The 15,979-nt window shown below is 35.3% G+C and overlaps 1 protein-coding gene across 8 annotated transcripts in view; it reads right to left on the bottom strand.

Annotated features, from left to right (window-relative positions):
* The window catches only part of BCAS3 (BCAS3 microtubule associated cell migration factor), a 714,981-nt gene that overhangs the window by 373,323 nt on the left and 325,679 nt on the right, over positions 1 to 15,979 (bottom strand). For 6 of the 8 annotated variants that reach the window (NM_001330413.2, NM_001353146.2, NM_001099432.3 and 3 more), the window contains exon 16: positions 3,608 to 3,758. In NM_001330413.2, the coding sequence (NP_001317342.1) occupies positions 3,608 to 3,758 (151 nt within the window). Of the gene's footprint in view, positions 1 to 3,607; positions 3,759 to 15,619; positions 15,710 to 15,979 lie in introns of all 8 variants that reach the window. The other 2 variants (NM_001353144.2, NM_001353145.2) reach the window with 1 other exon arrangement.

Raw genomic sequence — 15,979 nt, 5'->3', positions numbered from 1 at the left:
TAAATTTTAAGATAATCAAACCATATATTATATTCTGAAAACTTTATGATTAAATGTTTTAGATAACTTATAGTAAAAGAACAATCAGAAAAGTCAATAGTAGTTTCCAGGTATAATCAACAAACTCTTCAGAGAGTGGCTTAAGGAGCGATCCCCAACCTTTTTGGCACCAGGAATAGGTTTCATGGAAGTTTCACTTCAGATCATGAGGCATTAGATTCTCATAAGGAGTGTGCAACCTAGGTCCCTCACATGTGTAGTTCACAACAATAGGGTTTGCACTCTTAACGAGAATCTAATGCCGATGCTGATCTGACAGGAGGCAGAGCTCAGGCGGTGATGCTCACTCGCCTGTTGTTCACCTCCTGCTGTGCGGCTCAGTTCCTAACAGGCCAGGGACTAGCACCAGTCTGTGGCCCAGGGGTTGGGGACCTCTGGCTTAAAGATATTGAGTCTTGTCATCTAGCAACAGTCAAGTATGACTGACCACTATCATCAAAGTCTTATCAGTCACTGTACTCTATATTAATAGGAAGGGATAAAAAATAGTAGATGGTGAGGGAAAAAAGGAACAGTAGGTTGGGTAATTTGTAGTACACTAAAGCTATGCTACAAGTAGAAAAATCATTATAGACAACAATTATGTGGAATTAAGAAAAACTAATGAAGTACGTTCAAGGTCTCTTCTTCTGATAACTGTACTACAGTTATATAAGAGAATGTCTGTGCCTTTAGAAATTACACATTGAAGTATGTAGGGATAAGGGTATATTAAGGCTGCAAAAACGTAACATGTTAGTGTATATGCAGGCAGAGGGAGAGAACGTGAATGACGTGTTAGTGTTTATGCAGGCAGAGGGAGAGAATATGAATGATAAAGCAAATAAGTTGATCTATTAACATTTGGGGCCGGGCGTGGTGGCTCATGCCTGTAATCCCAGCACTTTGGGAGGCCGAGGCAGGTGGATCACTTGAGGTCAGGAATTCAAGACCAGCCTAGCCAACATGGCGAAACCCTGTCTGTACTAAAAATACAAAAATTAGCTGGGTGTGGTGGCACACACCTGTAATCCCAGCTACTAGGGAGGCTGAAGCAGGAGAATCACTTGAACCAGGGAGGCAGAGGCTGCAGTGAGCTGAGATCGCACCATTGCACTCCAGCCTGGGAGACAGAGCAAGACTACGTCTCAAAAAAAAAAAAAAAAAAAAAAAAAAAAACTGGGGAATTTGGGTAGACAAGAATTCCTTTGGCTAGTCTTGAAACATTTCTGTAAGTCTGAAACTATGTCACAAATAAATTAAAACCTAGTACTCATTGTGGGACAAGTATCAATTATTCTCTCTAAACACTTCAATACAAGGCTTGCTAAAAAAGAATTCGAAACTATGGCAGAAATAAAATGGTATAAATTGAGATACAAAGCCTAGTAAACAATATGATACAAGTATCTTAACTAACATTTGTTTCAAAGCACATAAAACAACTCAAATTGATAACAGTTCCCTTATTAATAAATTGTTCATAACGCAACAGAATACATGCTCCAAAAATCTGAGAACAGAGAGCAAATTTTTGTAAGAAAAGGAAACATAAGAATTTTATCTAAATTCATAATGTGTAGTAACACAGGAGGACACCAAATGACTAACAGTTTCTATTCATCTCAGTGTAGAGAGAAATCGGGTTGTAAGAGGGAGAGAGAGAGAAAGAAAGCAAGAGATTTTATCTTCTTATGGAAAATTTCAAATACTACATAAAAAAGCAGACTCACTTCCTACCCCTCACCATAAATATTATGAATTAAATTCTAACATCATATCATTTTATGCACTAAACTTCAGTTACTATTTCAGAGATATATTTGGAGAAGCTCATTAGAAAAAGAGAGCTAATTCTTTGCATTATAAAACAGGACAGCTCTTATGTTAAAATTAAATAAACACGCACCAGAAACAAAGCACCAGAATATGCTTTTATGACTCCAGGAGCCTTTTGAACCTTCTTAAATTTCCCTCACTCTGAATATAAAATTAAATTACAGAGAAACAATTTTGAGGATGGTTTCACTTAGATTCAGAAAAGACAGGCTAAAATTTGTAAGTACTTTGGAGAATTGTACAATGCTGGAGTGAATCAAGATGATACAATTATGTACTGACTAACTTCAGTAAGTAAAAAAGAAACTTTAAAGTTATGATTCCAGATTTAGTCCCATTTTTGATTCTACATCCCAGGAATGTAATATACAATGAAAAAATAACCTAATTGTGAATATAAAGGACATAACCTCTTCATTATTCACAGCCATTATTCTTAAATTATTTTAAAATAAACTAACAGAGGAAGAGAAAGTTGAAATCCAATTTAAAATTATACTTTTCCTGGGCCCAAGGAGTTAAAAAGCTGAAAAAAATTAAAAAGATATACAGACCAAATTATTGGTGCCTTAAGATGTCTGATTTGGGATGAAGTTTTGCTGAAAAACACAGCAAATGCCACAGACTCAATTTTATGTCTGCATGCAGCAACAGGATCTTTTTATATACAAACACCACTCCACCTAGCTACAGAGTCAATTTCTATGTTGTGGTGATACCTGGAGCTCAAAGGCCTTGTCCCTGAGACTACTGAGTATTTCTTCTCACAAAAGTGACCTCTGTAAGCACATTAATACTGAGCACAACAAAATTAAGATATATTGACGTAGCAGCCAAATAATATATTCCTTTCATTGGAAAGAACTTGAGGACTGTTTGAGGCCAGACAGGGTTTTCTCTTGACTACTTTAATACAGAAATGTAAAAAAGTTGTTTCATTTCAAATTAGATTAAACTTCAGGATTGCTCATTATGGAAAACAAATAATTTGCCTATAGACATATATTTTCTGATATAAAATGGATTTCCAGTGTTAATATACAATTGAATATCTAATGATATCATAGACCTAGCAGTTTATTTTCAGGAACCTATTGAAGTGATAATCTTATATTCCTAAGGGGTAGCAAATTGCTAAAATAAGCACAAATAAATCAAGTGAGTAATCAAAAGTCTTTAAGGAAGTTAATGACCAATCTTAAATAAAGCCCAAATCTTAGTGCACTGGCTTTGAAAACTACCAATGACATCACATTGTCCTGACACTAATGACAGATTATTATATGTAAATTATATCTCAATATAGATGATTTTTTCAAAGTACTAAAAAGATGGTTGTCATCTAAGGTTCTCTCCATATTTGTATCTGTCAAAATTTGGGAGTCATTTCAAATCCCGAAAGAGCCAGGAAAATGAAACTGTACTTGCAGGCAAAGCCACAAGGCAGTAAGCATAAGACGAAGTAGATGGATCTGTTTTTGATTAGCCAATACTAGTTTTCACAGCTTGTCACTGTTTTGTTTTTCTCGATGAATGTGTGTATACATGGTTGTGTGCAAGTATGCTTGTGCAAGTTCTATGCTTTGTACTTAATCTGATGCCATTAAGTCTTATTTGAGCTGGAAATGAAGAACATAATAAAAACCACACAAAGAAAAAGTATGTTTTATTTTTATTCATTCAACCCTATAAAACAGCTGTTAAAAAAGCATCAAGTCTAAGGCCTTACCCGGTTCGTTTGGTGATGGTCCCCAATGTCATTGGCTGCTTGATTTGTGCAAGAGGCATCACTACCATCAAGCTGGGAAGAGGAGAGAGCCGAGGGTTGCCAGGGTTGTTGTTGGTAAAATTGTTATAGGAGTCTTGGCTGTTCAGTTTCCCTACAAAGAGAAAAATAAAGAAAAGCATCACTGAGGAAGGTTCTCTATCTCCCGTTCTCTATCTCCGATAGGGTTTTCACTGACTCCAGTAATCATTTAAGAAAGGCATCAAAGGTAGAATTGATGCCAAGAGAATTACAATTATGTGGATGAGAAGAAACCAAACTATTCTTGGAGAGCTGGATAGCTCATGACTGTAATCCCAGCACCTTGGGAGGCCAAGGCAGGAGGCCAGGAGTTTGAGGCCAGCCTGGGCAACAGAGTGAGACCCCATCTCTACAAAAAATATCAAAAATTAGCTGAGTATTGTGGTACACGCTTGTCATCCTAGCTACTAAAGACTGAGACAAGAGGATTACTTGAGTCCAGAAATTCAAGGTTACAGTGAGCTATGATAGCACCCCTGCACTCCAAGCCCAGGTGGCATTAGAGAGACCCTGTCTCTAAACAAACAAACAAAAAAGAAGTATTCTGGTAACACCAAGTGTGACTTAATTATTAACATATTTCAGTCTTTGGGAATTAGGGCTGAATTCCTAATCTTTCTAAAGACAGTTAAAGTGGTTTGTTGCCCTGCTTAGGTCCTTACATCCAACACAATCTGCTAGTTCCCCCATACCTTGTCAATTTCTAAACAAAAGCCAGCTGAGTTTTTGATAGGGATTACATTTAATCTGGAGATCAATTTGTGGAATACTGCCATTTTAACAATAATATACCTTTTAATCCAAGAACTTAGGATGCCTTTCCATTTACCTAGGTATTCTTAAATTTCTTTCAATGTTGTTTTGTAGTTTTCAGGGTACAAGTTTTGTACTTCTTTGGTTAACTTACTACTAATTATTTCATTCTTTTTCATGCAATTTGAAAATGGAATTGTTTTCTTAATTTCATTTTTCAGATTATTCATTGTTAATGTATAGAAATACAGGTAACTTTTGTACATTGATCTTGTATCCTACAACTTTGCTGAGCTCCTTTCTTAGTTCTAATAATGTCTTCTGGATTCCTAAGGATTTTCTACATACATAATTATGTCATCCTCAAAAAACAGATAGTTTTACTTCTGCCTTTCCAGTCTAGATGCCCTTTTTTTTTTTCCTCCTCACTGACCTACCTAGAACTTCCAGTGCAATGTTGATTTGACAGGGGAAAAGCAAACTGTGATTTATTTTTAGTTCATTTTTGTGTATGTAGTGAGAGCTGAGGTTCATTGTATTCATTTTTTTAATATAGAAGTGTAATTGTTCCATCACCATTTGCTAAAAAGATTATCCTTTCTCCTTTAATTGCCTTTCCATGTTTGTCAAAAACCAACTGACCATATACATGTGGTTCTATTCCTGCATTGATCCATGTGTTCCATTGATCTATGTGTGTAGCCTTTCACCAATACCACATTTTCTCAATTACTGTAGTTTTCTAGTGAGTCTTATTAATTGATGGGTTTACAGAGAAACTATAAAAATTACCTCATTTTCTGTGTTACGGAATAAGCCAGTGCCTGTAATCCAACAACTCTTTCATGCAAAAAACTTCTTATTGACTTAATGTTAATTTTATATCACTGTTCTTGACTGTCGATAAAAATTATCAACCCCATTTATGTGGTTAGCAATAGATAAGGTATTTTTTAAATAACCACAGTAAACACACATATAAATTTTTTTTACTAATTCGAATTAAGTTGACCAATTTATGTACACAGCAAAAGCATCCCCCCCGAAAGTCCTAATTAATATCTTATTTCTAAAACACATCCTAAAAGACATTTGCTTTAAAAATAGCATGGATTCAGGATAGAGGGAGAACTACCACACAGTATCTAATGGTAGCCTGAGAGGTAGTGAAAAGTCAAAAGTGCCTTTCTAAAAAATCGTAACAAGATGACAGTGGCTTCAGAATTAGGATAGTGGCTTAACCAAATGTTACTTCTTCCTTGGACACAAATCTATCCTTTTATATTACTCTATAGAACTATCAAGTTAACCTTTGATAAATGTCTCTTTTGTAAAATATGGGGAAAGATAAGAAATTCATGCAAATAAAATAAATCGTTCTCTATCTCCTCAATTTCCAATTCAGAATACACATTAAAGTTAACAGAAGCCATCTACACCTGTTGCAGGAATAACAAAAGACAGAATTCACAATACACACAAGATGATTTAGGCCACAACACAGAACCTTGTAGAAAATATGAAGAGGGAAATCACATTAAAATATTATATTTGTGGAAGAAATGAGAAAAACTGCTTCATAGTTAAGCCATTCGAAGTAATTTATTATCACACTCTCAAGGCCAATATAGATGTAAATAATTATAAAATCGCTATTAGACAACTATGCTAATATTAACTTGAATTTGAAATCAGACTGCAACTTTCTGTCACAAGCTGGTGAAAATTAAGAATTGTGTACATCATATGTATTTCACAACTAGTAAACAAATATTTGTTGAGTGCCTTAGCTTAAGATAACACTGTAAGGGACTGTTTTCCTTGTTATCATGAAGCTTACAGTCTAACAGGCACAAACAGGAATCATTAAGTGCTAATTGCCAAGAACCAAAGATAAGCAGACGTGGGAACAACTTTATATGGAAAAGGGCTCAAGGAAAAGGGCAAATGGGATATGATCTAGATTTTGAAAATTGGACAAAATATGGATAAGGGTAGGAGAGAAGGAATATTCTGGGCATGAAGGATAACGTGAGGGGAGAGTGGTATAAAGGGATGCCATTATGTGAGGAGTAGTGAGGAATCTCTAACTATGGCAGATAAAATATTTCAGTTTTAGGAGGACCTCTCAATTGAGCCAGAGGAGTAGGAACTTAGGTTAAGTTCTTCAGCGAGGGAACAGTATAGATGTTGAAGTCATTGAATTTGACAGATAAAAGGAGTGGTCTAGGAAAATGAAGTGATTCACTGAGAAGTTCCAAATCTGTGGTTTAGCTAGGCACAACTTAAAATGCTTCACTGTCTCACCAGGATAAAGGACAACCTCAGAATAGCATACAAAGAACTTCAGATCTATCCTTCTCAGCCTGCTCCTGTGTTTATGCTGTAGAGTCCATTTGAAACCAGCACATCTGAGAGAGCAAAGTAAGTTGTGTAGGTTTTACATTCATGTTTATGTTCGTAGGGGTGGTGTCTGTCTTACATATTAATGGATATGGCTAGCAACTTATAAACACAGTTTTAATGAAACAATGAGTATATTAATAAAATGCTCAATAAGGCCAAGATCTAAGAAGACAAACTCAGAGAAAAAGCTAACTCTAATAGTCTTCAGTAGGGTAGTTTCAGCAGTGAGGTGGAAAAGTCAGATTGTAAGCCATAAGCAAAGGAACTGCTGATAGGATAAAATCAAGGTAACAGAGAACAAAGATTTAAAGACTGACACTGAAAAAGAAGACATTAACAAAGATGCATACTGCGCCAAGCAAAAGTTCCACTCAATCTTTGCTCTGTCACTTCACACTTTTGGAGGCTTATTGGTATCAGGCCCTGTTCTAGATTCTGAAGGAGTAAGTCCAAGGGACTTTCAAAGAGTTCATAATGTAATGTTACAGAAAGACATATTAACAAAAAATGAAAAATGGGAGAAAACCATGCTAATAAATACATCTGAAAAATGACTCAGGAACAAAAAGTAAGGAGTCACTTTTATTATTGTTTTAAAGGACAACTTAAAAAGGGAGAAAAGGTATACAAATTTTGAGCATAAAGGAAGGAATCTCTATCTTTTTATTTTGCTTTTCTAGTAGAAAATAAAGCAGGAGAAATGTATAAATAACATCAGAAGTTAGTAAAATGAAAGAGCTAGCTTAGACCAGAAATCTCAATAGCTGACACAGACATGTAAATAATACACATTAAATAAATAAATGCAATAACTACACAAGACAGCCTAACAATCCTTTCTTCCAGGACCTATTGTTAAAATCTTTGGTTATAAATGATTTTACACTATTTACACTGTCTTGGATTTTCTTTGAAAATTCAGCTAGAATCTAACAAACCTCCAGATTTGTCCTCCACAATACTGGAGACTCCACCAGGCTGCCTATACTCCTGAGGATAGTGTCTTACTAGTCATTAATAGCTAACAGCTCAATAAATGTTTGCTGAATGAATGAAGGAAATATATTTATTTCCATGTCCAGGAGGTAGAGAAAAATACGGCCCTATGATCTATAGAAAAAATAATTCTGGAGGGGACTCAGTACTTCAGAAGGTTGCCAGATGACTGGAGTCTGCGGCTTTCACTATTCTGCTTAGTCTCACGTTCACTGGCCTAGAAGGTTAGACTTGATAACTTTAAAAATAGATCTTTAGACATTTCCATGTGGTTATATCAAGCCTAAATTTTCAAGCCAGAATTCTTCATTAAACCTCAAGCCTCTTCGTATAAGGAAGTTCAGCAGGAAGAAACCTGCAGTGTCTGCCTTGGACCTAGATGAAGTCTATTGCTATTCTTTTTCTTTGCTTCACCTCTCAGAAATACATAAGATACAAATAATATTTCTGAGATCTATGAAGAGAGTTACAAGGTATCACCTTCACTAACCTTTCTTTACTATACTCTTCTATTTTTTCCTTTATTGCATGAGTACAATGAAAAAGAACAGAGGTTATTTAAGTGCAGTTTTGGTAGTGGACTGCATGAAGTCTTGAGATACATAAAATATTTCACACACTATTATACTTTCAAATTCCAGCTAAGAGGAGACCTGTAAGTGACAAATGCCATGAGAATGAATATTCTCACAGTATTTCTGGCACAAGCAGACAGAGGAAGTCCCAAAAATCTCATGAGAAAATAAGCTCATCTAAGACTCTCATCCCAGTTTTTTGGGCTTACTCTATATAGATAAACTTGCATAAGCCTCAGGCTTTTGGGTCTTTATCCAAATCCACTAGAGCTTTGATCCTTTAGAGGTTTACCAGTCCCCACGATAGATGGAGTTCTCTTGGGGGAAAGAAATCCCGAGTTCCAATAAAATGGTTTCTCAATAAGTTAAAGCAGGAATTCTATTTGGGGATACAAAATTATTTAAAAATCAGAATTTTTAAAACATCCCTTGATGTTTAAAGCTATGATGTCTTGTTTTTGTTCTGCTTTCAGTTTTTTGTTTACTGCTATTATTGTTTTTAATATTACAATACAAAGCCATTACACCAGAACCATTCACTTTCGGGTTCAACCACTGACTTTCTATGTTTATCTTCTAAAAGTTTGCAATTTAAAAAAAAAAAGGAATTATGAAAACAACTTCTTGTGCTCTTTTTTTCCTGTTACCTTTTGGATAAAGGATATCTACAGGTACGTGTACTTTGGGGGACACAAACTCTCAATCTCCATACTAACACATAGTTCCACTGTCTGCATATATGAGAATGACATGGTGTGATCTGTTTACTAAAAGTTTTGCTAACTTCAAAATACCATCTTACTTATGCTTTGTCCTAAATTATGTTTTCCCAGACATTCTATACTATAAAAACACAGAAGAAAAATGGATTAAGTTGAGGATAAAAGTGAACAGAGAAAATAACAATGGGCTTTGTTGCCACGCTGGAGGAATAGCTTGTCAGGTCAGCTTTGCAGAGAGGCATATTCCCAAACCAGTCATCATTAACAGACTCACTTCCACAGGAAAAAAAAAAAAAAAAAAAAGACAGAGTCTGAAAACTCCGGACAAAAGAAATCCCTGCAGACAAAGTAAAAACAAATTAAAAGACCCATTATAAAACACAGATGCTACAAGGAAAATAAACTTTCTAAGATTTACTGGGCTTTGACAAACTTGGACATTTGTGGAAAAGACATCAGCAGCAACTCCCAGGTAATGTGGCTGCAAAGTTAGACTCCCTTCTGTTTTATCTTTACCCTCTGTGCAGAAGCTGCCAGGTTGGTATTCTTAGCTTCTGAATGCAGTGATGTGAGAACATGTGAATGTGGCAAACTGCCAACTGCAAGAACTCTCTGAAGCTAGCAAAACTGAAATTGTTGAACATTTCAGATTATGTTAAATATTAAAGTTACTATCAGTGTATCTGTGTGTACATATGTATAGTTGTCTTTCTTCCGAGATACAAACAAGAAGAGGGAAAATAAAAAATGAATGTATTTGCATCCTTTCTACCTTTAAAAAATTTCCATATCTTACCATATTGTGAACCAAAGGACATAAAATCAGTTAAAATAACATTAAGGAATCAAATGACAATAGTTGTAGATCAGAAAGTACCTTAAAGGAGTGTCATACCAGAGAGAGAGAGAAATTTTTGTTACAGGTTTCTAAAAGTTATTGTTAATGGAGGACAAAGAAAGATTCTTTAGGAACAGAAGGTATGAGAAACTAAGACCTACAATGGAATAAAGTGGGTCAAGTGAAACATTTGGAGGATAAAAAGAGCACTGTCCTTCTGTTGTCATTAGACATATGAGGTAAGTATAGTATTAGAGTATTAGAGATAAGTATAGAAACGGCAAAGCTTCATTTGCAAAAAGAGCTAAAGGACACTAAGCAATGGTGCCCTGTGAAAGAGCAGTGTTATTAGGAGGTCCACATATCATCCCACTTATTCTTACCACAGACACAGACCTTATCCACTTTAGGCACTCCACTTTTCTGAAGGTTTACAATAGACACCTTCCTATAACTCAGTACTCTAGACTCCTACGACTGTATTAAATTCTGTTCTCATCACCTCTCCATACACTTATCTACAACACCCACTATTGTTCTAGGATATAAGCTCCTCACCTAGTGTCTTTGGTCTCCTATTTGGAACTCTTGCATTTTGAAATCGGATTACTGAGCCACACTGAAGCCCGAGGTCAATGTGACTCTCTGGCACTCCTCAGAAGACAATTCTACGGAAACAGCCCCAGTCCCAAATATCTCCTTTATTTTTGCCCTCTTTGCAACACTTTACCTATTCTAAGACATCATGTAGATGTTCTATTCCCTATATCATATCTTTCAAAAATAAAAACTAGATGATGAGTTCTACGGGGCCTTTTTTTTTATTTTTTTATTTTTTATTTTTTGGTAAACTTTTGTCTTCTACAGAAGAGCAAAGCTTTTGGACTGTTTTTAATATCTTGCTGTGGAATTGACAGGGATAAAAATCTAAAATATACCAAGGAGTTTAACTAAGTTAATTCTGTAGTTGAAAAGCTCTGACTTCTTGACTCTGTCAAAGAATACAATGGTAGCTTGTTTTGAAATAGTCACTGGAAATGTGGGCTCTGAAAAGTTAAAAACACTGCTTAGTTCTTGCTTGCCATCCAATTTAACATTAAAGTTTTTTCAACCAAACTCTCAATAGTTATTTAACAAAAAATACCCTGTGTAGAAGGGAATTTCCTGCAGGTGGGTTATTTTTGGTTGGGATGGGAGTGTGTGTCTCTCTCTCCATCTCTCTCTTCTCCCCTTTCCTAGATGAGAATGTCAAGCTTCCCAGCTGCAGTTCCAGGACTTTCACCCTCCTTTATGACCTTTTCTCAGGCATGTTCCAGTATAATCTGCAATCTACTCAAGTCGGAAAAGGAAACAGCAGCACCCTGGTGAGAAACAGTGCCTTCTGACCCACATACCAAACTGGGCGGAAGCAATGCTTGTTCACAGGAGCCAAGGAGAGTAGAACACACACTAAAAGAAAATGAATTTTATGTGTGTGTGTGTGTGTGTGTGTCGACACACAGACACACATTTTTAAAGACTATAAACACAACAAACAGTTTGGGTGACAAATAAAGACAGAAAATACTGAAGGACAATCCTGTGTGGGCACTGATTCATTTTGCCTATAACTTTTTTTTGGAGGCAATCGATGGTGAAGTAAAAACACTGCAATTTTTGATGCATTTCAAGCAAAAACACTTGTTGCTTTCTTTGAGTAAAAAGTTCACGTCACCATAGACATTACTGTAGGTACTTTGAGAAAGGGTGAGAAGGTAGGAAGATTAGAGAAATCTCCCACAAAATGGACTTGAAAACAAGAATCCAATCTTTCTTTTTTTTTTTTAAACAGGATGGGGATTGAGATTATTAATGATAGTGTCATCACTTCTCCCCACTACATACAAAGTAGCCTGCATGGAGCTTTGCCTAGGGCTTATTAAATGTCACTAGAATTAAAAGTGTACTTTCAGGAGAATTGAAACTGTATATATTTATGTACGAATACTCCAATAAATAATTTGCTAGGTAGTTTTCCTTTTCTATTGTGAATCCATTATCATCTGTTAATTATTATCTGAATGTGTTGGCTACTACAACATACAAATTTAAGTATTTTTCTTTTCTTAAAGCTAAAATAAACCCAATAAATTTAGAAATTTGATGCCTAAAAATTAAAAGTCATAAAGAAATAATTCCTGTTGCTAAAATTCTAAGTACAGCAAGTATAGTTGACACAACTCCAAAAGGTAACAAGGTGGGCCTAGAACAAGGAATATTGAAAACTTAGGAGGCAAAAATTCCCTAGAAAAGGAGATGAAATCAACAGTTAGAAACAATGTTTATAAAATGCAAGAACACAAAGGGAAAAATAATAGAACTAGCTGTGAGGAATTCTACTGAAATATAAAAAATCTGTCTGAAAAGTTTCATGCAATTAAGTTTCAATCACAGAGTCAACCCAAACTTGTAAGTTAAATGAACAAAATCTCCTCCCTCAAAGTGGTAAGTTCATTACTTATTATTCTTAGAGCACTCCAAGATTTTGGAATGAAGAAAGTTTATTAAGAGTTGGTGCTCTTAAAATTTAAGAAGGTTTAGCAATTTTTAATTCATTTTACGTATTAGGATTGTAGTTTGACACTCCTTCAACAATGAAAAATCAAATATAACAGTAAAAAGACTATATTTAACACAAGAGGGAAGAAAGTAAATTCTTCATACGTATAAATAAAAATTTTTTAAAAAGATCTTTGACCTTAAGCCTCAACCTATTTCTAAATGTATCATATTAAAGCACCCTCAAAATTTCCCACTCCTCTGAATCAAGTTCAAATATAGTACTGACACTAAGTGCTCAAAAGTGGAGTTTTAGCCTAATGAAAAATCCCTGAATTAAGGCTCCATAATCTAACATCCCTTAGAACAAGTCTGAGGTGAAATGTGCTCCCCAAAGTATAAGTCCTCATTAAATTATTTCTTGAAAATACCCTATACTCAACTCTCCCATCTTTACCTCACAATGAATTTTGTATATCAACAGAGTAAATAGAAATGCTTTACTGTAGATGGAAAAAATATAGAATCCTATCTTCTTGTTTCAACAAATGTGACTTTATTACTTAAACTGCTAAACATACAAGATGTAGAAGTATCAGAAGTTGGTTCTGAGATAAACACTTTGTAGGAAGATGAAATATAGAATTAACTGCAAGATTTAAAGTGTATTTTCTTAGATCTGGAGAACTCAAAACTATTTAATTTTACATTTGCAGAACTTATCTTTATGTACTTTGTATACCTATACATTAAAGAATGTATACTTAAGGAACAATTTAATATAAAATCGAAGCATTTTCTCTTGAATAAAAAGTATAGCCACAACACATATACACCATGGAATACTATGCAGCCATGAAAAATGATGAGTTCATGTCCTTTGTAGGGACATGGATGAAATTGGAAATCATCATTCTCAGTAAACTATCGCAAGAACAAAAAACCAAACACCGCATATTCTCACTCATAGGTGGGAATTGAACAATGAGATCACATGGACACAGGAAAGGGAACATCACACTCTGGGGACTGTGGTGGAGTGGGGGGAAGGGGGAGGGATAGCACTGGGAGATATACCTAATGCTAGATGACAAGTTAGTGGGTGCAGCCCACCAGCATGGCACATGTATACATATGTAACTAACCTGCACAATGTGCACATGTACCCTAAAACTTAAAGTATAATAATAAAAGAAAAAAAAAAGAAAAAAAAGAAATTTTTTCCTAAAAAAAAAAAAAGTATAGCCACAAAATGTAAGTAACTTTCCTAAAAATCAAAATGATGTAAACTGAAAGAGCAAAGACTCTCTTCTCCTCACAGTCCCCTATTCTCCCGCCCCAACCCACGGACGCCTTCCTTCTTTTTACCCATGACTGTTAAGGATATTTTCTGGCTCTATTTCAGCATCATGACGCAGGTCATGAGAAGTGTCAAAGATGCATTTCCTTCAGATGGGAAAGAGCAACAGATTGTAACAACCATACAAAGATGGGAGTACAGTACGAAAGGGCCAAATCAGCATTTTTGACAACAGGGCAGATAAAACCTTTTCTATTCACATATACTTTATTTCCAGTTTTAAAACATTTAAATATCTATCAAAATATGCTTACATATTTTCCTCAAGATGAAAACAGGAAACCAATACTCCATTTAGCTGCCTAAATTATCAACAATTTGTGGAACAGTTTACCAAAAAAAAAGAAAAAGAAAAAAATCAAACTAAGCACACCACACGAATACTAATAGTTCAAGCCCTTCTCTTCTAAATTTACTTTTCCAAAAGTATGCCTATGACTTTACCTACGTACGTAAAACCTACTTTTACAAAAGATCCTTGACAGTAAGAACCACAAAGAGGAGTGATACCACGACCATCCCCAGTTGAGAAATAATGACTCTTCTTTCCCTGTAATTCCCTGTCAAGCCGAAACACTTTCCTAATCAGCTGGAGCACTGCCGGAAAACTATATTCATTTATGAGTACTGTCATGGTATTTTTTCCCTCATCTATGGTTTTATCAAATATAGACACATTTCAATCTGCTCCAAAACTAGACCAGAGTGAAATATTATTGAACATTAATTAAGCATTCCTTACTAGAGATGGCTCTTAACACAGAAAATGGAATGCTCTATTTCTTCTGAAGCCAACAACAACAGTGCCCATGTTAATTCCACCTTGGTCCATTCTGAAATAGTAATTTCCCTCTTGTGCCTCATTCTAGCTTCAATATTCTCACCTGCAAAAACACATCATCCAATGTTAATAACTCTTTCAATGAACCTTAAATCCTTTTCCTTTTCTCATCCTCCTCCAAATTCAAAATATCATTTACCTCATCATGGTAAGAACCATCAAAATTTCTACTTCTGTGCATAATCCTGGTATAGCCCTGATCCCTGTCTTGTTGTCCTTTTGTAGTTTACAACTATCAACTAGCAGATTTCTAGTTCCTGCTCAGATTTCAACCTCAAGACTATTCATGTCTGTTATTCTCAAGTCTGATAATTTCTAAATCTGTTCATATGGGTCAATCATTCAAACTCTGGCTACTACAAATCCTAAGAAGCCTACTCACTCTCTTCTCCCTCTCCAATTTTTCTCCAAATTAAAAAAAAAAAACATTTCAGATCTTCCTTTTGATAAGTACATAAGGAAATGAACATTCACTTCTTTTCCCAAAATTTGTTGTTCTACCCATTTGCACTTCTTTATCTGAATAAGTAGTTTTTACATTCATTCACTTCAGCAACTAAAAATTCCATCTCCAGATTTCCATAGAAATATTTTTATTTCAGTGGAACCAGACCAGAATTTCTTACTTAACTGTCCTCCTAACTAGGGAAGTAAGACAATAATCAAATGCAAACAGGTTCTCCAAATCCTCTTTTTGTTATTCTAATCACTAGACAAAAATAATGTTAACTCCTTCAACTCCTTGAAAACTAACTTCTAAGTTTATTGCCAGAAACTCTTTATTACCCCAACCCCACCCTGAACAGAGGATAGAAGAATTTCTTTGTGGGAAAACTGACCAGCGTACATGAAAAGACCTACGGATAGTGACTATTTGAGGTATGATAATAAAATGGCATTCCTACCTGATAGACCACTGATACCTATAAGGCGGTATGCCCTTCCCACATTCAAAAAGCTTCCAATCAGTTCCTTAGTATTGATTTGTTGATTAGCTGAATAAAAATGAATAAAATAAAAATGAATTATTAAATAATAGAATGTAAAAATAAAAATAATCAGCCAATGATCCATCAAGGATTCCCCATCACTGAGGTCAGTGTTTTGGTTCAATCAGTCTGATGGAGTCTAGGCCTCAGTATTTTTCAAATCTATCTAGCTTAAGTATAATGGACAGTCAAGGGTTGAAAATCACTGCTCCAGATGGGCTTGGTGGCTCACACCTGTAATCCCCAGCATTTTGGGAGGCTGAGGCAGGCAGATTG

This window comes from Homo sapiens, chromosome 17, assembly GCF_000001405.40.
Source record: "Homo sapiens chromosome 17, GRCh38.p14 Primary Assembly".
Lineage (NCBI taxonomy): Eukaryota > Metazoa > Chordata > Mammalia > Primates > Hominidae > Homo > Homo sapiens.
This window is presented reverse-complemented; position numbering and strand designations above follow the sequence as displayed.